The sequence below is a fragment of the Homo sapiens genome, chromosome 10 (genome assembly GCF_000001405.40).
Source record: "Homo sapiens chromosome 10, GRCh38.p14 Primary Assembly".
Classification (NCBI taxonomy): Eukaryota; Metazoa; Chordata; class Mammalia; order Primates; family Hominidae; genus Homo; species Homo sapiens.
The window spans coordinates 54,329,777-54,344,263 of NC_000010.11; the positions used below are offsets into that span (position 1 = coordinate 54,329,777).

The 14,487-nt window shown below is 37.8% G+C and overlaps 1 protein-coding gene across 20 annotated transcripts in view; it reads right to left on the minus strand.

Annotated features, from left to right (window-relative positions):
• PCDH15 (protocadherin related 15) overlaps positions 1–14,487 on the minus strand; it is a 1,825,172-nt gene that overhangs the window by 527,006 nt on the left and 1,283,679 nt on the right. The window lies entirely within an intron of this gene.

A 14,487-nucleotide genomic window follows, 5' to 3' on the forward strand; every position in this document is an offset into this window, starting at 1 on the left:
TTAATCCTCTTGGAAGTTAGAGATGACATGCTTATCATCTGAAAATAGAATGACTATAAGCTTCAGAGTCAATATTGTTATCATACTTCCAAACATTTAATTTTGATCAATGGGTTTCCCCAGAGTCCTTTGGTAATAATAACCAGAAAATTTGTTTCTTGTCATAGTTTTTAATATATTACTAGTATTATTCATCAACAGTCTTGGAATAGTTCTAAATCAAAGTCCAGGTATCTGAAAAACTTCCCTGTTACCACATTATCTTTTCACTGTGTTCTTTAACACCAAAGCATTCAAACACTGAAATCTGTTATTTCTACATAGTATCAATTGTCAACATTGATATCCATTCTGTATTTTAAGTATTTTTAAGTATTATCTGGCATTAAATACAAAAAAAAAAATACAGTTACGAGTCACTTAGTGATGAGGTACATTCCGAGAAATGTGTTGTTAGGTGATTTTTGTCATTGTGTGACTATTATAGAGTGTAGATTCACAAACCTAAAATGGTACAGCCTACTACATACTAGGACAAGTGATATAGCCTATGGCTCCTAGGCTACAAACCTGTACAGCATGTCACTGTACTGAATGCTATAGGCAATTGTAACACAATGGTCAGTATTTTCTCTATAAATGTAATCTAAACATAGAAAAGGTATAGTAGAAATACAACATTATAATTTTATGAGACCACCATTTGCTATGTGATATATCATTGACCAAAATGTCATTATGCAGAGCATGACTGCGTGAACTTGAATCAGTTCATTATTGTGGAAAAAAAAATCCAGGTTATATATCATTTTTTTCTTTTAGGTTCCACAACTTCTGCTCATTAGTTAAGTTCTCTGCCCTGTCTAGGACTGAGTTTTTTCCTGGTAACATGGAAGTCATAAGGGCAACACTAGTGCTCTGGTATAAGCAGCCCTCAGTGTAACTGTATTCACACCTTAAGGGAGTATAATTTATAAGATAAATCTCTTATTCTTAAGAAGACCTTATGTCACTTTTGTATTTTAGTGCCATTTTAAAGAATGATAAAATTGTTTCTAGTAGGCTCAATAACTCAGTGTTATTTTGTTCACTGAAATTGTCTTGTGGTTGTTCAGTTGCCTTGTGTATTTGTGCTTGTGATTTTTTTGTGAAATATTTAGTTTGAATCTGCATTAGATTGCTGCAAAAGGAAGGAAAGAGAGGGAAAGAAAAATGAGAGGAAAAGGCAAGGGGAAGGAGAAGAGAAAGGGAAGGGGAAGTGTGGAAGAAGAAAAAAACTGTGTATGTGAGAGAGAAACAGAGAGAGAGAGGAAGAGAGAGAGAGTGTTCACACCCTCAACTTAGTGTAAGTGTATTCCTAAGAGTCACATAAGAAGTTAAACTCAATGAAAAAAAAAAAGCTGATTCAAATCTCTCAGCTCAGGCTCAATCAATGAAATGTGTGTAGTTTAGCCTTCCATGTCTAGAGCTGTGATCTGTCTCCTTTCTTTCTTTCTTTGTCTCTCTATCTCTCTTTCTCTCGGGGATGCATAAAGACACACACACTGTACATTTTGCAGAATTAATATATATTTTTAAATGATTCATTCTGTGCTCCTCATGTAATGGGCCTTGCAAATCGTTCTTGGATGCAGTCATTTAAAAGTAACAATTTAAAATATAAATACAGAAAATGAAAATGAACAACACAATTAAAAACAGACATTTGACATTTTCCCTAATTTTTTGCCTATTCAACTTTGCTTATACCTATGAGTGGGGCTGGCATTATGACACAGGAGTGTGAAAATGATTGAATCTAAACATGTAAGTTGAATATGGGCAAAACCTTAGTTAATAATTGCTGTTTACACTGTTAAACTTATCCTAATGTGTTGTTATGAGGTTATTACATTTTAGTGACTCAATAATATAGAAATATATATTGGTTTCTAGCATAAATATGGAAGATACTGTGGTCTTACCACAAAACTACCACATCTCTGGACTCAGAACCCCAAATTAGCTCACATATCTGGTGACATTGTGCCTCAGAGGAGGCTATGTCTCTAAATGAGATGAGTCTTGAATAGTCTAGCTTAAAAACAGTAATTCCATTCTCTTTTACCAGGAAGTATTTTGCAAATGTACATGTGATTCCATTTTGAGTAATGAAAAAATTTCTCTTAATTGCAAAGATAGAGAGAAGCTAAAAATCCCTTTTCAGGTTATAGAAGTTTCTGTCAGGATATAAAATTTAGAACTTCAGCAGCCATTTGGGGACTATTGATAAAATTAATTACGGAGAAATAGCTAACATGCTAGTGATAGCAGAGTATAAAATAAAAAGAGCCCGGATCTGTGTTGTCTTTGAGTTGCTGAGCAAATCTTGATATTACCCCATCTCTGAAAAACTTATTATGATAGATAATAAATTACCTTTTTGGTTAAATCATCTTTAATTTAGTTTTTTACATATATATAATATATATATAATCTATATTATATATTATTATATATAATATAATATAATCTATATTACATATTATTATATATAATATAATATAATCTATATTATATATTATTATATATAATATAATATAATCTATATTATATATATAATATATATATAGTAAATTTTCTGCAGCTGAAAGCACTTTGATACATGATTATTCCTGTCTCTATGTGTTTACACTGTAGGCCTCTCTCTTCTCCAAACAGGCCATGGCTCTTCACACCTGATATTTGCTCTTATTTTTCTCTTGCTTAAATATCCCATCACTTATTTCTCTGTGTACTAATCTTTGCAAACTTTACTCAGTGAAACCTCTTAAATGTAATTTAGACTTAAGTCTTTGATGTGATCTCACATTATTTTTTCCAAAAAACACTTATTTGGGATCTTCTGTTTTGCTTGACAGATTCCTCAAGGGTCTCAGTCTGTGATGCAGAAATAACCTATCCTTAAATGTCTAGCTAAGCAACTTAATGAATCTTTGCAATACTTTTTTTGTTGTTGACAGTTTTCATTGGACGTTTGTAGAATTATTAAAAATAATAGTTATTAGTGACTTTATTGATCTTCAGAGCACTTTCAATTGCACTGAATTCTTATCATCTTAAATCTATCCTTTAGAGATTTTATAGATTCTTAGATTTTAATTTTACTTTTTATATGTATGTATTTATTTATTTATTTATTGAGATGGATGCAGTCTTGCTCTGTCATCCAGGCTTGAGTGCAGTGGTGCAATCTCAGCTCACTGCAACCTCTGCCTCCTGGGTTCAAGCGATTCTCCTGCCTCAGCCTCTGAGTAGATAGGACTACAGGCATGTGCCACCACATCTGGCTAATTTTTATTTTTTACTTTTAGTAGAGATGGGGTTTTAACATGTTGGCCAGTCTGGTCTCGAACTCCTGACCTCAAGGGTATGCCCACCTTGCCTCCCAAAGTTCTGGGATTAAAGATGTGAGCCACCATCCCTGGCCTAGATTTTCATTTTGTTAGCACTTGTATTCTATAAAATATAAGAATAGGATATACTTTATCATCAATGGTGCTTCTGAAATGTTGCATATTGAAAGCCACTGTATTAAATTTAATTTATTAATTAAGCAATTATTGAGTATTCATTCTGTCTCTAAAATGTAGAATAATAATCAAGAAAATTAGAAGCAAAATATAGATATCTTTGGTATCTTTATGATAGTCTTCTTTTTCCTCTAGTAAAAAGAATACTGGATTAGATCAACCCTAAGTAAAAGTCTTGCTTTAATGATATTTCTGAAGTGTTTACCTAAAAAGTTTAAAAAAAAAAAAGCTAAATTAAGCAAGGGAAAAAAGTAGATTTTTTAATAAATAAATACATGATAAAGCCATGAAAAAAACAAAACAATACTTAGAACATTCTTAAAGTTTAGAATGCACAAGAATCATAGGCATGTATCATTAAGACTGTAGATTCCTAGCATCTATTACCCAAAATTCCCGAAATTCTTGGGAATCGGCATTTTTAACAAACCTACCAGGTGATCCTGATGCAGATGATTCAGGTTTTACTTTTGAGAAACCACTGTACTACGTAAGTCTAAGAGTGACTGCACTCTCTGTCCTTGCTATTTATTTTTCTCTTCTTTCATTCTTAGAGATTTGTTCCACCAATGAGGCAGAAAAGTTTGGGAACAGAGCAATGCCCATTTACTTAAGCAACCTTACATTTCTAAAGCCAGGACATTGCCCCCTTTCTGATAGTCGTGGATATTCTCTTTAAAATACAAACTAACATTGGCTTTTTTGGGTGATAAGAATTTAAGTGCTGACTACCTGCACTGTATTAATGAGAAAAATCCAATTATGGTTAAATGATTTAATACCCACACGCCCCAAACACCTGGCCTCCATTAAGAAAGGTCCACTCACTACTTTCTGACAGTTCAGTGACAACAACTGTCAAATAAGGGACAATTCTCCATTTAGTAAAATAAGGGCATAAGGCAGTTTAAGCAATTTATCACTATCACAGATATGGGAAGCAGGGTAGGAGACAGCTGTAACATCCACGCCACACACATTCACATTCAATAATGGAGAGAGAAGGAATGTTGAGGCTCTAGCAACTCTGTGTTTCCCAAGATGATTCCATCCCCCCAGAATCCCCTTTACTAATATGGGTTTGCACCAGTTTAGATAAAACGGCAGCTCTCTGAAAGGAGGTGTTGAATCCTACAGTTAAAGATGCTCTAGAAATGGAATATGGGGTTATTAGCACTATTTCTTCTCAGCTGATAGATTTGGTCATTCATCATTTTTAGGAAAGAGGGAAAGACTCCAGCCTTTCACACCTATGTTGTAAGCATTGTTTGTAATATTCTCTTTTCAGCTGTGATGACTAGAAATTCAGTTCAAAAGAAGATAATTTCTAAAGAACACACACACACACACACACACACACACACACGTGTATATATATTTTCTGGTGACCTAAAGACAGAGACTTAGTACAAAAGTGCCTCAATGGGCCTGTAATTGAGAAGTGGCGGAAATGTAGATAATTACGATTTTCTCTTTATCTCTGTAAATTCTCTTGTTCTTTGACACTTTTTTTTGAAGTATCTTCCCTTATCTTTGTGTCTTTTTCTGTACCTCTCTCTTCTCTCTTTGGGTTTCCCCCATTTGTTCACATTGAATATAACTGTGAGTCTGTGTTTTAGTTCCAATAAGCAGCATCAACTTTGCCCTTATCAATCTTTAGACAGCCTTAAGCTTGTCTCTGATTAAGCTCAGGCTACTGTGCCATCAGCTGCTGAAAATTCTATGTTATTGTCATTGTTTGTGTGTCTCCTCTAATCTAATTTCCTAAAGTAAAAAGTGGAGGACTAAGTAAGGCTATGCAATTTTTGTCCACCCAAGAGGGACTGGGATTTGAGCAGGCAACATTAACTTTGCTCCTAAGAGAAAGTCCCAACACTCTAATCATTTTTTCTGTTTCATACTGTTAAAACATGTCCCTGGCTGACAGACAAAATGGACTCCCTATGACTAACTGAAGTAAGTTAAAACAAAACCAACAAAACCAGGTGGCCATGCCTGAGTGACAAAGTGGTCGCATACTCTGTGTTCTCAGAAAGATGTCAAAGCATCACAGGATCTTCCTTTCTACAATTGATATGGTTTGGGTGTGTCCTCATGCAAATTTCATCTTGAATTGTAGCTTCCATAATTCCCACGTGTTGTGGGAGGGAGCTGGTGTGAGATAATTGAATCATGGCATTTCCCCATACTGTTTTTGTGGTAGTGAATAAGTCTCATGAGATCTGATGCTTTTATAAAGGGAAATCACTTTCACTTGATTAAATTCTCTCTTAGTCTGCTTCCATGTAAGACATGCCTTTTGCCTCCCACCAAGATTGTGAGGCCTCCCAGGCACATGGAACTGAGTCCATTAAACCTCTTTTTCTTTATACATTACCCAGTCTCACGTATGTCTTTATCAGAAGTGTGAAAACAGACTAACACAGTAAATTGGCACTGGTAGAGTGGGGTCCTGCTGTAAAGATATCAAAAAATGTGGAGGCAACTTTGGAACTGGGTGGCAGGCAGAGGTTGGAACAGTTTGGAGGGCTCAGAAGGACAGGAAAAGGTGGGAATGTTTGGAACTTCCTAGAGACTTTTTCATTGGCTTTGACCAAAATGCTGATAATGATACGGACAATGAAATCCAGGGTAAAGTGATCTCAGATGGAGATGAGGATACTGGAGTAAAGGTAACCCTTGCTATGTTTTATCAAAGAGACTGGTGGCATTTTGTCCCTGACGTAGAGATTTGTGGAACCTTGAATTTGAGGGAGATGATTTAGGTTATTTGGTGACATAAGTTTCTAAGTAGCAAAACATTCAAGATGTGACTTCAGTGCCATTAAAAGCATTCAGTTTTAAAAGTGAGACAGAGCATAAAAATTCAGAAAATTTGCAGCCTGATAATGCAGTAGAAAAGAAACACCCATTTTCTGAGGAGAAATTCAAGCCAGTTGCAGAAATTTGCATAAGTAATGAGGAACCAAATGTTAATCACCAAGGCATGGGGAAAATGTCTCCAGGGTGTGTCAGAGACATTTGTGGCAGCCCCTCCCATCATAGGCCAGGAGCCCTAGGAGAAAAAAGCGGTTTCATGGGCCAGGTCCTGGACCCCCCTTTCCGTGTGCAGCCTAGGAACTCGGTGCCCCGTGTCCCAGCTGCTCCAGCCATGGCTATAAGGAGTGAAGACATAGCTCAGGCTGCGGCTTCAGAAGGTGCAAGCCCCAAGCCTTGGTAGCTTTCACATGGTGTGGAGCCTATGGGTCCGCAGAAGTCAAGAACTGAGGTTTGGGAACCTCCACCTAGATTTCAGAGGATGTATGGAAATGCCTGGATGTCCAGACAAAAGTTTGCTGAAGGGGCAGGGCCCTCATGGAGAACCTCTGCTAGGGCAGCATGGAAAGGAAGTGTGGGGTTGAAGTCCCCACAAAGAGTTGCCACTGGCGCACTGCCTAGTGAAGCTGTGAGTAGAGGGCCACTGTCCTCCAGAACCCAGAAAGTAGATTTACTGATAGTTTGCACTGCATGCCTGGAAAGCAGCAGACACTCAAGGCCAAACTGTGAAAGCAGCCAGGAGGGAGGCTGTACCCTGCAAAGCAACAGGGGTGGAGCTGCCCAAGACCATGGGAACCCACTTCTTGCATCAGCATGACCTGGATGTGAGACATGGTGTCAAAGAAGATCATTTTGGAGCTTTAAGATTTGACTGCCCCACTGGATTTCAGACTTGTATAGGGCCTTTAGACCCTTTGTTTTTGCCAATTTCTCTCATTTGGAATGTATATATATATATATTCATACCCAATGCCTGTACCCCCATTTTATCTAGGAAGTAACTAACTTACTTTTGATTTTACAGGCTCATGGGTGTAAGGAACTTGCTTTGTCTCAGATGAGACTTTGGACTGTGAGCTTTTGAGTTAATGATGAAATGAGTTAAAACTTTGAGGGACTGTTGGTAAGGCATGATTGGTTTTAAAATGTGAGGACATGAGATTTGGGAGGTGCCAGGTGTAGAGTAATATGATTTGGCTGAATCCCCACCCAAATCTCACCTTGAACTGTAGCTCCCATAATCCCCAAGTGTTGAGGGAGGGACCCGGTGAGAGATAATTAAATCATGGGGGTGGCCTCCCCAGCCACGTGGAACTGTGGGTCCATTAAACCCCTTTTTCTTTATAAATTACCCAGTCTCAGGTATGTCTTTATCAACAGCGTGAAAACGGACTAACACAACAATAAAGCAAAAACAGATCCTGTTCTTGGTGCCAAGATAAACTACAGCTGGAACTACTTCCTTTTGCCCCCTATGCCATCCCTACACTGGCCCTTTAGCACTAGCCCTTTGAAAGAAACATCTGACAGAAACTTCTGGTTTGGGGCTTGGAAATCAACCAATCAGAGCTCACCTGAATCAACCAATCAGTGTATAGAACAGTCATGACTCATCTGTTTTGACCAATCAGAATTAAGCAAGGATCTATCCTTCATTTGGATGAAGACAGCTTATTGGGAACCTGGGTGGGAACTATAGCTATAAAACCCTAACCCTCTCTTTGTTCTCTGAAATGTGTCTTAGCTTGAAACCACAGGCTGTATATCCATGGTTTGAAAACTGTTCACTGAAATAAAGTCTCTTTCGTCCAAATTCCTTTCCAGAGAACATTTGCTTACAATATAAATTTACCACTCTCCCTCACACAAATACAAACAGATTCATTCACATTTAATGATGCATTATGATTACAATGCAGTTCAACTTATCTTATTCCATCCAACTTCCAAGGAAACTGTATTTGTGTTTGGTTGGGTTTTGAAACTTAAAAGTCACAGCCTTGGTGTGAAAAGACTGAGGTTCGAAGTTTTACACAAAGAAGGCCTTTACACCAGTCTTAATTATACATGAGTTTCCAGTAAAATGAGAATATTATGAATTTATGGAGGCATGGAAATCTCATGATATAATGTACCCTGAAAAGTATTATTAAACTACAGTAAATTTTTTAGTAACCTACCTAGGAATAAGTAATCACTGTTTTAGCTTAACCTTAAATATTTTATTGACATCTGAAATTTGGACTTTGACATATATACACACACACAGAACTACTTCAGGATGGTGATTTTTTTAAAAATCGTTTGTCCTTAAAATGTGGTTTTAACTTCCTGACTCAGGAAATTCAAATGCTTACACATTACAAATGAAAATTATGGCTTACATTTTCTGAATTATCTCAAAGCTACGGGGAGTCAAACATATTACAAAAGAAGGACAATTTACTCAGGAGGACTTGATAAAAGATGTTACCACCCACTGAAACACCACTGTAATACCTCAAAGAAAGAAGCTGCTTATGCATATTGCTTAAGTGTCTTCATTTTTTTTTTCTGAGTAGTAACAGTAGTGAATAACAATGTTATGCTGCTTCCTCAGTAAACTGGAGACTGCTACAAGGGACATGTCATCAGTCTCCTCCTTATCACTTTAGGTCAAACTTAAAATGCTGAATAAACATGCCTCCAGTCTGGCATTAAAATAAAAAAAAAGATCAAAAAGACATGATAATTATTGTCTAAATAGTCTTATCAATCTTGCTAACAATGAGATTTAATATATCAGAATACCTATATTTAGATTTTTCCATATAAGACAAATTCTCAAAAATGAAAGTTACTGCAGATCATGTGATGACAAATTCTTATCAATTTCAGAGTTCTTCTTTTATTTTTTCAAAACAAACTAATTCAAGCTTGTCTAACCCATAGCCCACAGGCTACATGGGGCCCAGGTTGGCTCTGAATGTGGCCCAACACAAACATGTAAATGTCCTTAAAACATTATAAGATTTATTTGTGATTTTTTATTATCAGCTCATCAGCTGTCATTCACGTTAGTGTAATTTGTGTGTGGCCCAAGACAATTCTTTTTCTTCCAGTGTGGCTCAGGGAAGCCAAAAGATTAGACAGACACCTCTGAATTAGTTCAGTGCATTATGAACACTCTTACTTTGTATTACCATGAAGGCATTAAACAAAAAAAAAAATCAGCAGTATTTTACAATAACTGTGATGAGTACACTAGAAATTGCATAGAAATTAAATGCCCCTAATTAAAGGCCTGACAACATATATTGTCCAGTACATATTTTTACATATTGTCTACTACCAAGTTCCAACAGATAATTCAAGTGGTACTTAATAAACAAAAGGTGACCAAATGAGAAAATGAACTTATACAAAAGAAAGAAGAATGCTTCTTCTTCTGAACAATAGTGCAGACTGACAAAGATTCTTTGCCTGGCCAAACTTGATCAGGCTTCTGAATCTTCTCCTAGGCTCATCTGTATACTTCCTCATAAAATCACTTTTTAACAAAGAACCATACTATATCACTTTACCAAGAACTCCTCTACCTTTGATGAATGATCTATCTTGAAAACTCATCAGGTTTCTCATCCTGCACCACCCCTTAGGTGATGTCTGATCACCCTGACTTGTCTTCAGCAACAATCGTATTAGCGTGTTTTAGCCAGAATTCCCCTAATCTCTGATGTTTCCTCCTAGTAATTTTCCATCCAGTGACCCTGACCCTGCTCCTTGGTTATAAAGTCCCACTTGCCCATGCTTTATTTTTAGTTGAGTCCAATATCTCTCTCCAACTGCAAGACCTCATTGCAATGATTTCTATACCTATTGCAGTGGTCCTGAATAAGGTCTTTCTTACCATGTTTTAATGTATCATTAAATAATATTTTTATTTAACAATTGTCTAGAGGACTTTTAGAAGAAGATATTTACTAAATTATTTTTTTCTAAATACATCAGCCATGAAAGGATAGGGAATGCTGCAGGAACAAACCCTTAAACTTTCATTTTTTTCTTTACTTTTCATATCTACATATCTAATATGCATCAGCAAGTGGTCTCTTTTTATTGTTGTCATTGGCTAATGAATGTTTCTCCTCAACATGTTTTTCTCTGATCACAACAGCAGGGGCAGAGAATATGATTACTTGTATATTGGTTCTTTGAGTTTACATTTCATTAGTCAAAGCAAATACTTTTCTCCAGGCAAGAAAAGTACACCTCTAGTATGAATCAAAAGAGAGGAAGAACCAAACATTTTTGGTAAACAGCTCAAGTGCTTTTGTTAACAGCAGTGAATCCATATGGGTCTGCAGCAACTCGGTCCTAACCTCAGAGGAAAGAATGTGATTTAGGGGAAGAAGTAAGTTTAAGGCAGAGGGAGAGATTGAGGTGAGTTTTAGAGTAAGAGTGAGAGCTTATTAAAAAGTTTTAGAGCAGGAATGAAAGCAAGCAAAATACTCTTGGAAGACGGCTAAGTGGGTGACTTGAAAGATCCAAGTGCCTTGTTCATCCCTTCACTTGGGGGTTTTCTACATTGGCATGGTTTGGGGGTTTGCCATTCTCCTCCCTTGATTTTTCTTTTGGGGCAGGCTGTCCACATGCACAGTGCCTGCTGGTGCACTTGGGAGGGTCTTCATGTGCAGTATGTTTACTGAAGTTGTTGCATGCTTACTTGAGGCATTTTTGCCTTACCAGTTTAACATTCCCAGAAAAAGGTCATATACTAGTGAAATTCTGCCATTTTGCCTCTTAACGTGCATGCTTCAGCCCTCTTGCCCAACTTCTAAGCTCTTATTGGGAAGCTGCTGATCACCAGCTTCAAGTGTTTTCTATCTATTGGGAGACTATATTTCCCTGGCACTGGCTGTGATCAATTATTCTTTTACAGAAAAAGTTTAAAAGCCACCTAACCATCACCTGACGATCAGCTGACATTCCTGGGGGTGGTCCTCTCCTGCCCTGCTCATATCTGCCTAACCATCTAGTTGATATGGTTTGGCTCTGTGTCCCCACCCAAAACAAATTACAATGTCAAATTGTAATCCCCATGTATTGAGGGAGGGATCTGGTAGGTGGTGACTGGTTTATGGGGGCAGTTTCCCCCATGCTGTTCTCCCGATAGTGAGTTCTCACGAGATCTGATGGTTTAAAAGTGGCACTTCCATTTTTGCTCTTTCTGCCTCCTGCTGCATGTAAGATACACCATGCTTCTCCTTCACCTTCTGCCATGATTGTAAGTTTCCTGAGGTGTCCCTAGCCATTCAGAACTGTGAGTCAGTTAAACCTCCTTTCTTTGTAAATTACACACTCTCAGGTAGTATCTTTATAGCAGTGTGATAACAAACTAATACAGGAAATTGGTACTGGGATAGTGGAGTACTGTTAAGATGATAACCTGAAAATATAGAAGCAACTTTGGAACTGGGTAATGGTCAGAGGTTGGAACAGTTTGGAGGGCTCAGAAGAAAACAGGAAGATGTGGGAAAGTTTGGACCTTCCTAGAGACTTTGTGAATGCTTTCAACCAAAATGCTGATAGTGATACGGACAATGAAGTCCAGGCTGAGGTGGTCTCAGATGGAGGTGAGGAACTTATTGGGAACTGGAGCAAAAGTCACTCTTGCTATGCTTTAGCAAAGAGACTGGTGGCATTTTGCCCCTGCCCTAGATCTGTGGAACTTGGAACTTGAGAAAGATGATTTAGGGTATCTGGCAGGAGAAATTTCTAAGCAGCAAAGTATTCAAGATGTGACCTGTCTTTTTCTGAAAGCATACAGTCATAGGCATATATGAAGACATTATGTGAAACTGGAACTTATGTTTAAAAGGGAAGCAGAGAATAAAACTTTAAAGAATCTGCAGCCTGACCATGTGGTAGAAAAGAAAATCCCATTTTCTGGGGGAAAATTCAAGCTGGGTGCAGAAATTTGCATAAGTAACGAGGAACCAACTATTAATAGCCAAGACAATGGGAAAAATGCCTCCAGGGCATTTTAGGGATCTTCATGGCAGCCGCTCAAATCACAGGCCTGGAGGCCTAGGAGGGAAAAATGGTTTTCTGAGCTGGGACCAGGGCCCCACTGCTCTGTGCAGCCTTAGGACATGGCATCCTATGTCCCTGCCACTCTAGCTCCAGCCATGGCTAAAATGTACAGTTCAGGCCATTGCTTCAGAGGTGCAAGCCCCATGCCTTGGTGGCTTACATGTGGTGTTGGGCCTGCAGGTACATAGAAGACAAGAGTTGAGCTTTGGGAACCTCCACCTTGGTTTCAGAGGATGTGTGAAAATGCCAGCATGTCCAGGCAGATATCTGCTGCAGGGGTGGAGCCCTCATGGAAAACATCTACTAGCATAATGCAGAGGGAAAAAGTGGAATTGGAGTCCCCACTTGGGACTGCCTAGTGGAGCTGTGAAAAGAGTCCCACTGTCTCCTCCAGATCCTAGAATGATAGATCCACAGACAGCTTGCATCATGTGCTTGGAAAAACCACAAGCACTCAATGCCAGCCTGAGAAGGCAGCTGCAGGGGCAGTACCCTGCAGAGCCACAGGGACATAGCTGCCCAAGGCCTTGGAAGCTTACCCTTTGCATTAATGTGCCCTGGATGTGAGACATGGAGTCAAATGAGATTATTTCGAAGCTTTAAGATTTAATAACTGCCCTGCTGTGTTGTGGACTTGCATGGGGCCTGTGGTGCCTTTATTTGGGCCAATTTCTCACATACAGAATGGGTGTATATACCTAATGTCTGTACCCTCATTGTATCTTGGAAGTAACAACTTGTTTTTGATTTTATAGGCTTATGGGTTAAAGGGAATTGACTTGTCTCAGATGAAACTTTGAACTTGGACTTTTGAGTTAATGCTGAAATGATTTAAGACTTTAGGGAACTATTGAGAAGGCATGATTGGTTCTGAAATGTCAAAAGGACAAGAGATTTGGAAGAGGCCATGGTTGGAATTATATGGTTTGTCTCTGTGTCCCGACTAAAATCTCATGTTGAATTGTAATCTCCATGAATCTAGGGAGTGACCTGGTGGGAGGTGACTGGATCATGGGGCAGTTTTCCCCCTGCTGTTTTTGTGAGAGTGAGGGCATTCTCATGAGGTCTGATGGTTTAATAGTGATAATTCCCCCTTCACTCTCTCTCTCCTGCTGCCATGTAAGATGTTCCTTCCTCCCCCTTTCCCTTTTGCTGTGATTGTAAGTTTCCTGAGGCCTTCCCAGCCATTTGGAACTGTGAGTCATTTAAAATTATTTTATTATAAATTACCCAGTCTTAGTTATTCTTTATAGAAGTGTGAAAATGCACACTACTGTAACACTTTCACTTTAAATTGGATCAATCAGTTCAGCAACTATTTATTCCCAAACTTGTTGCTTCTTTGTTTTAGAACACCATTTGAATTGCAATAAAAAGAGTTGCTTAAGTTCTTTGTAGATTTGCGGGGGGAGGTGGGAGGGGAGAGGGACAGCATTAGGAGATATACCTAATGTAAATGACGAGTTAACAGGTGCAGCACACCAACATGGCACATGTATACATATGTAACAAACCCGCACGTTGTGCACATGTACCCTAGAACTTAAAGTAAAATAATAAAAAATAAAAAATAAAAATAAAAATAAGTTGAAACATAAAAAAAAAGATTTGCAACAAAACAGAAAGGCTCAATTTAATTATTCCAATTTTATTCATATATTAAATAAAATAGTTATGGTGAAGAATTTACAATATTTTGCTTTATTGAAATGTTATTATTTTGACTAGTAAAAGTGCCACACTATGGTGCTATTAATGTAAGCAGAATTACTAGAGATTTAGTAGTAGCAGAACATAAAATTTATCATGTATTTTCTCACAGGTCTTACAAGAGAAGAAACTGGTACTGAGGTTTACACTAATTTTATATGAAGTCTAAAAGTGGATTCTCTCCCTAAGATTGTACCTTGGTTAATCCTTTTTTCCTTCAATACATCCTAAGTTAAGTGTCATGATGTCTTACTATTTTTTCCACAGAATTAAGAGCATTTTAGCTTGCTAAAACATATATTATTTATTTTTC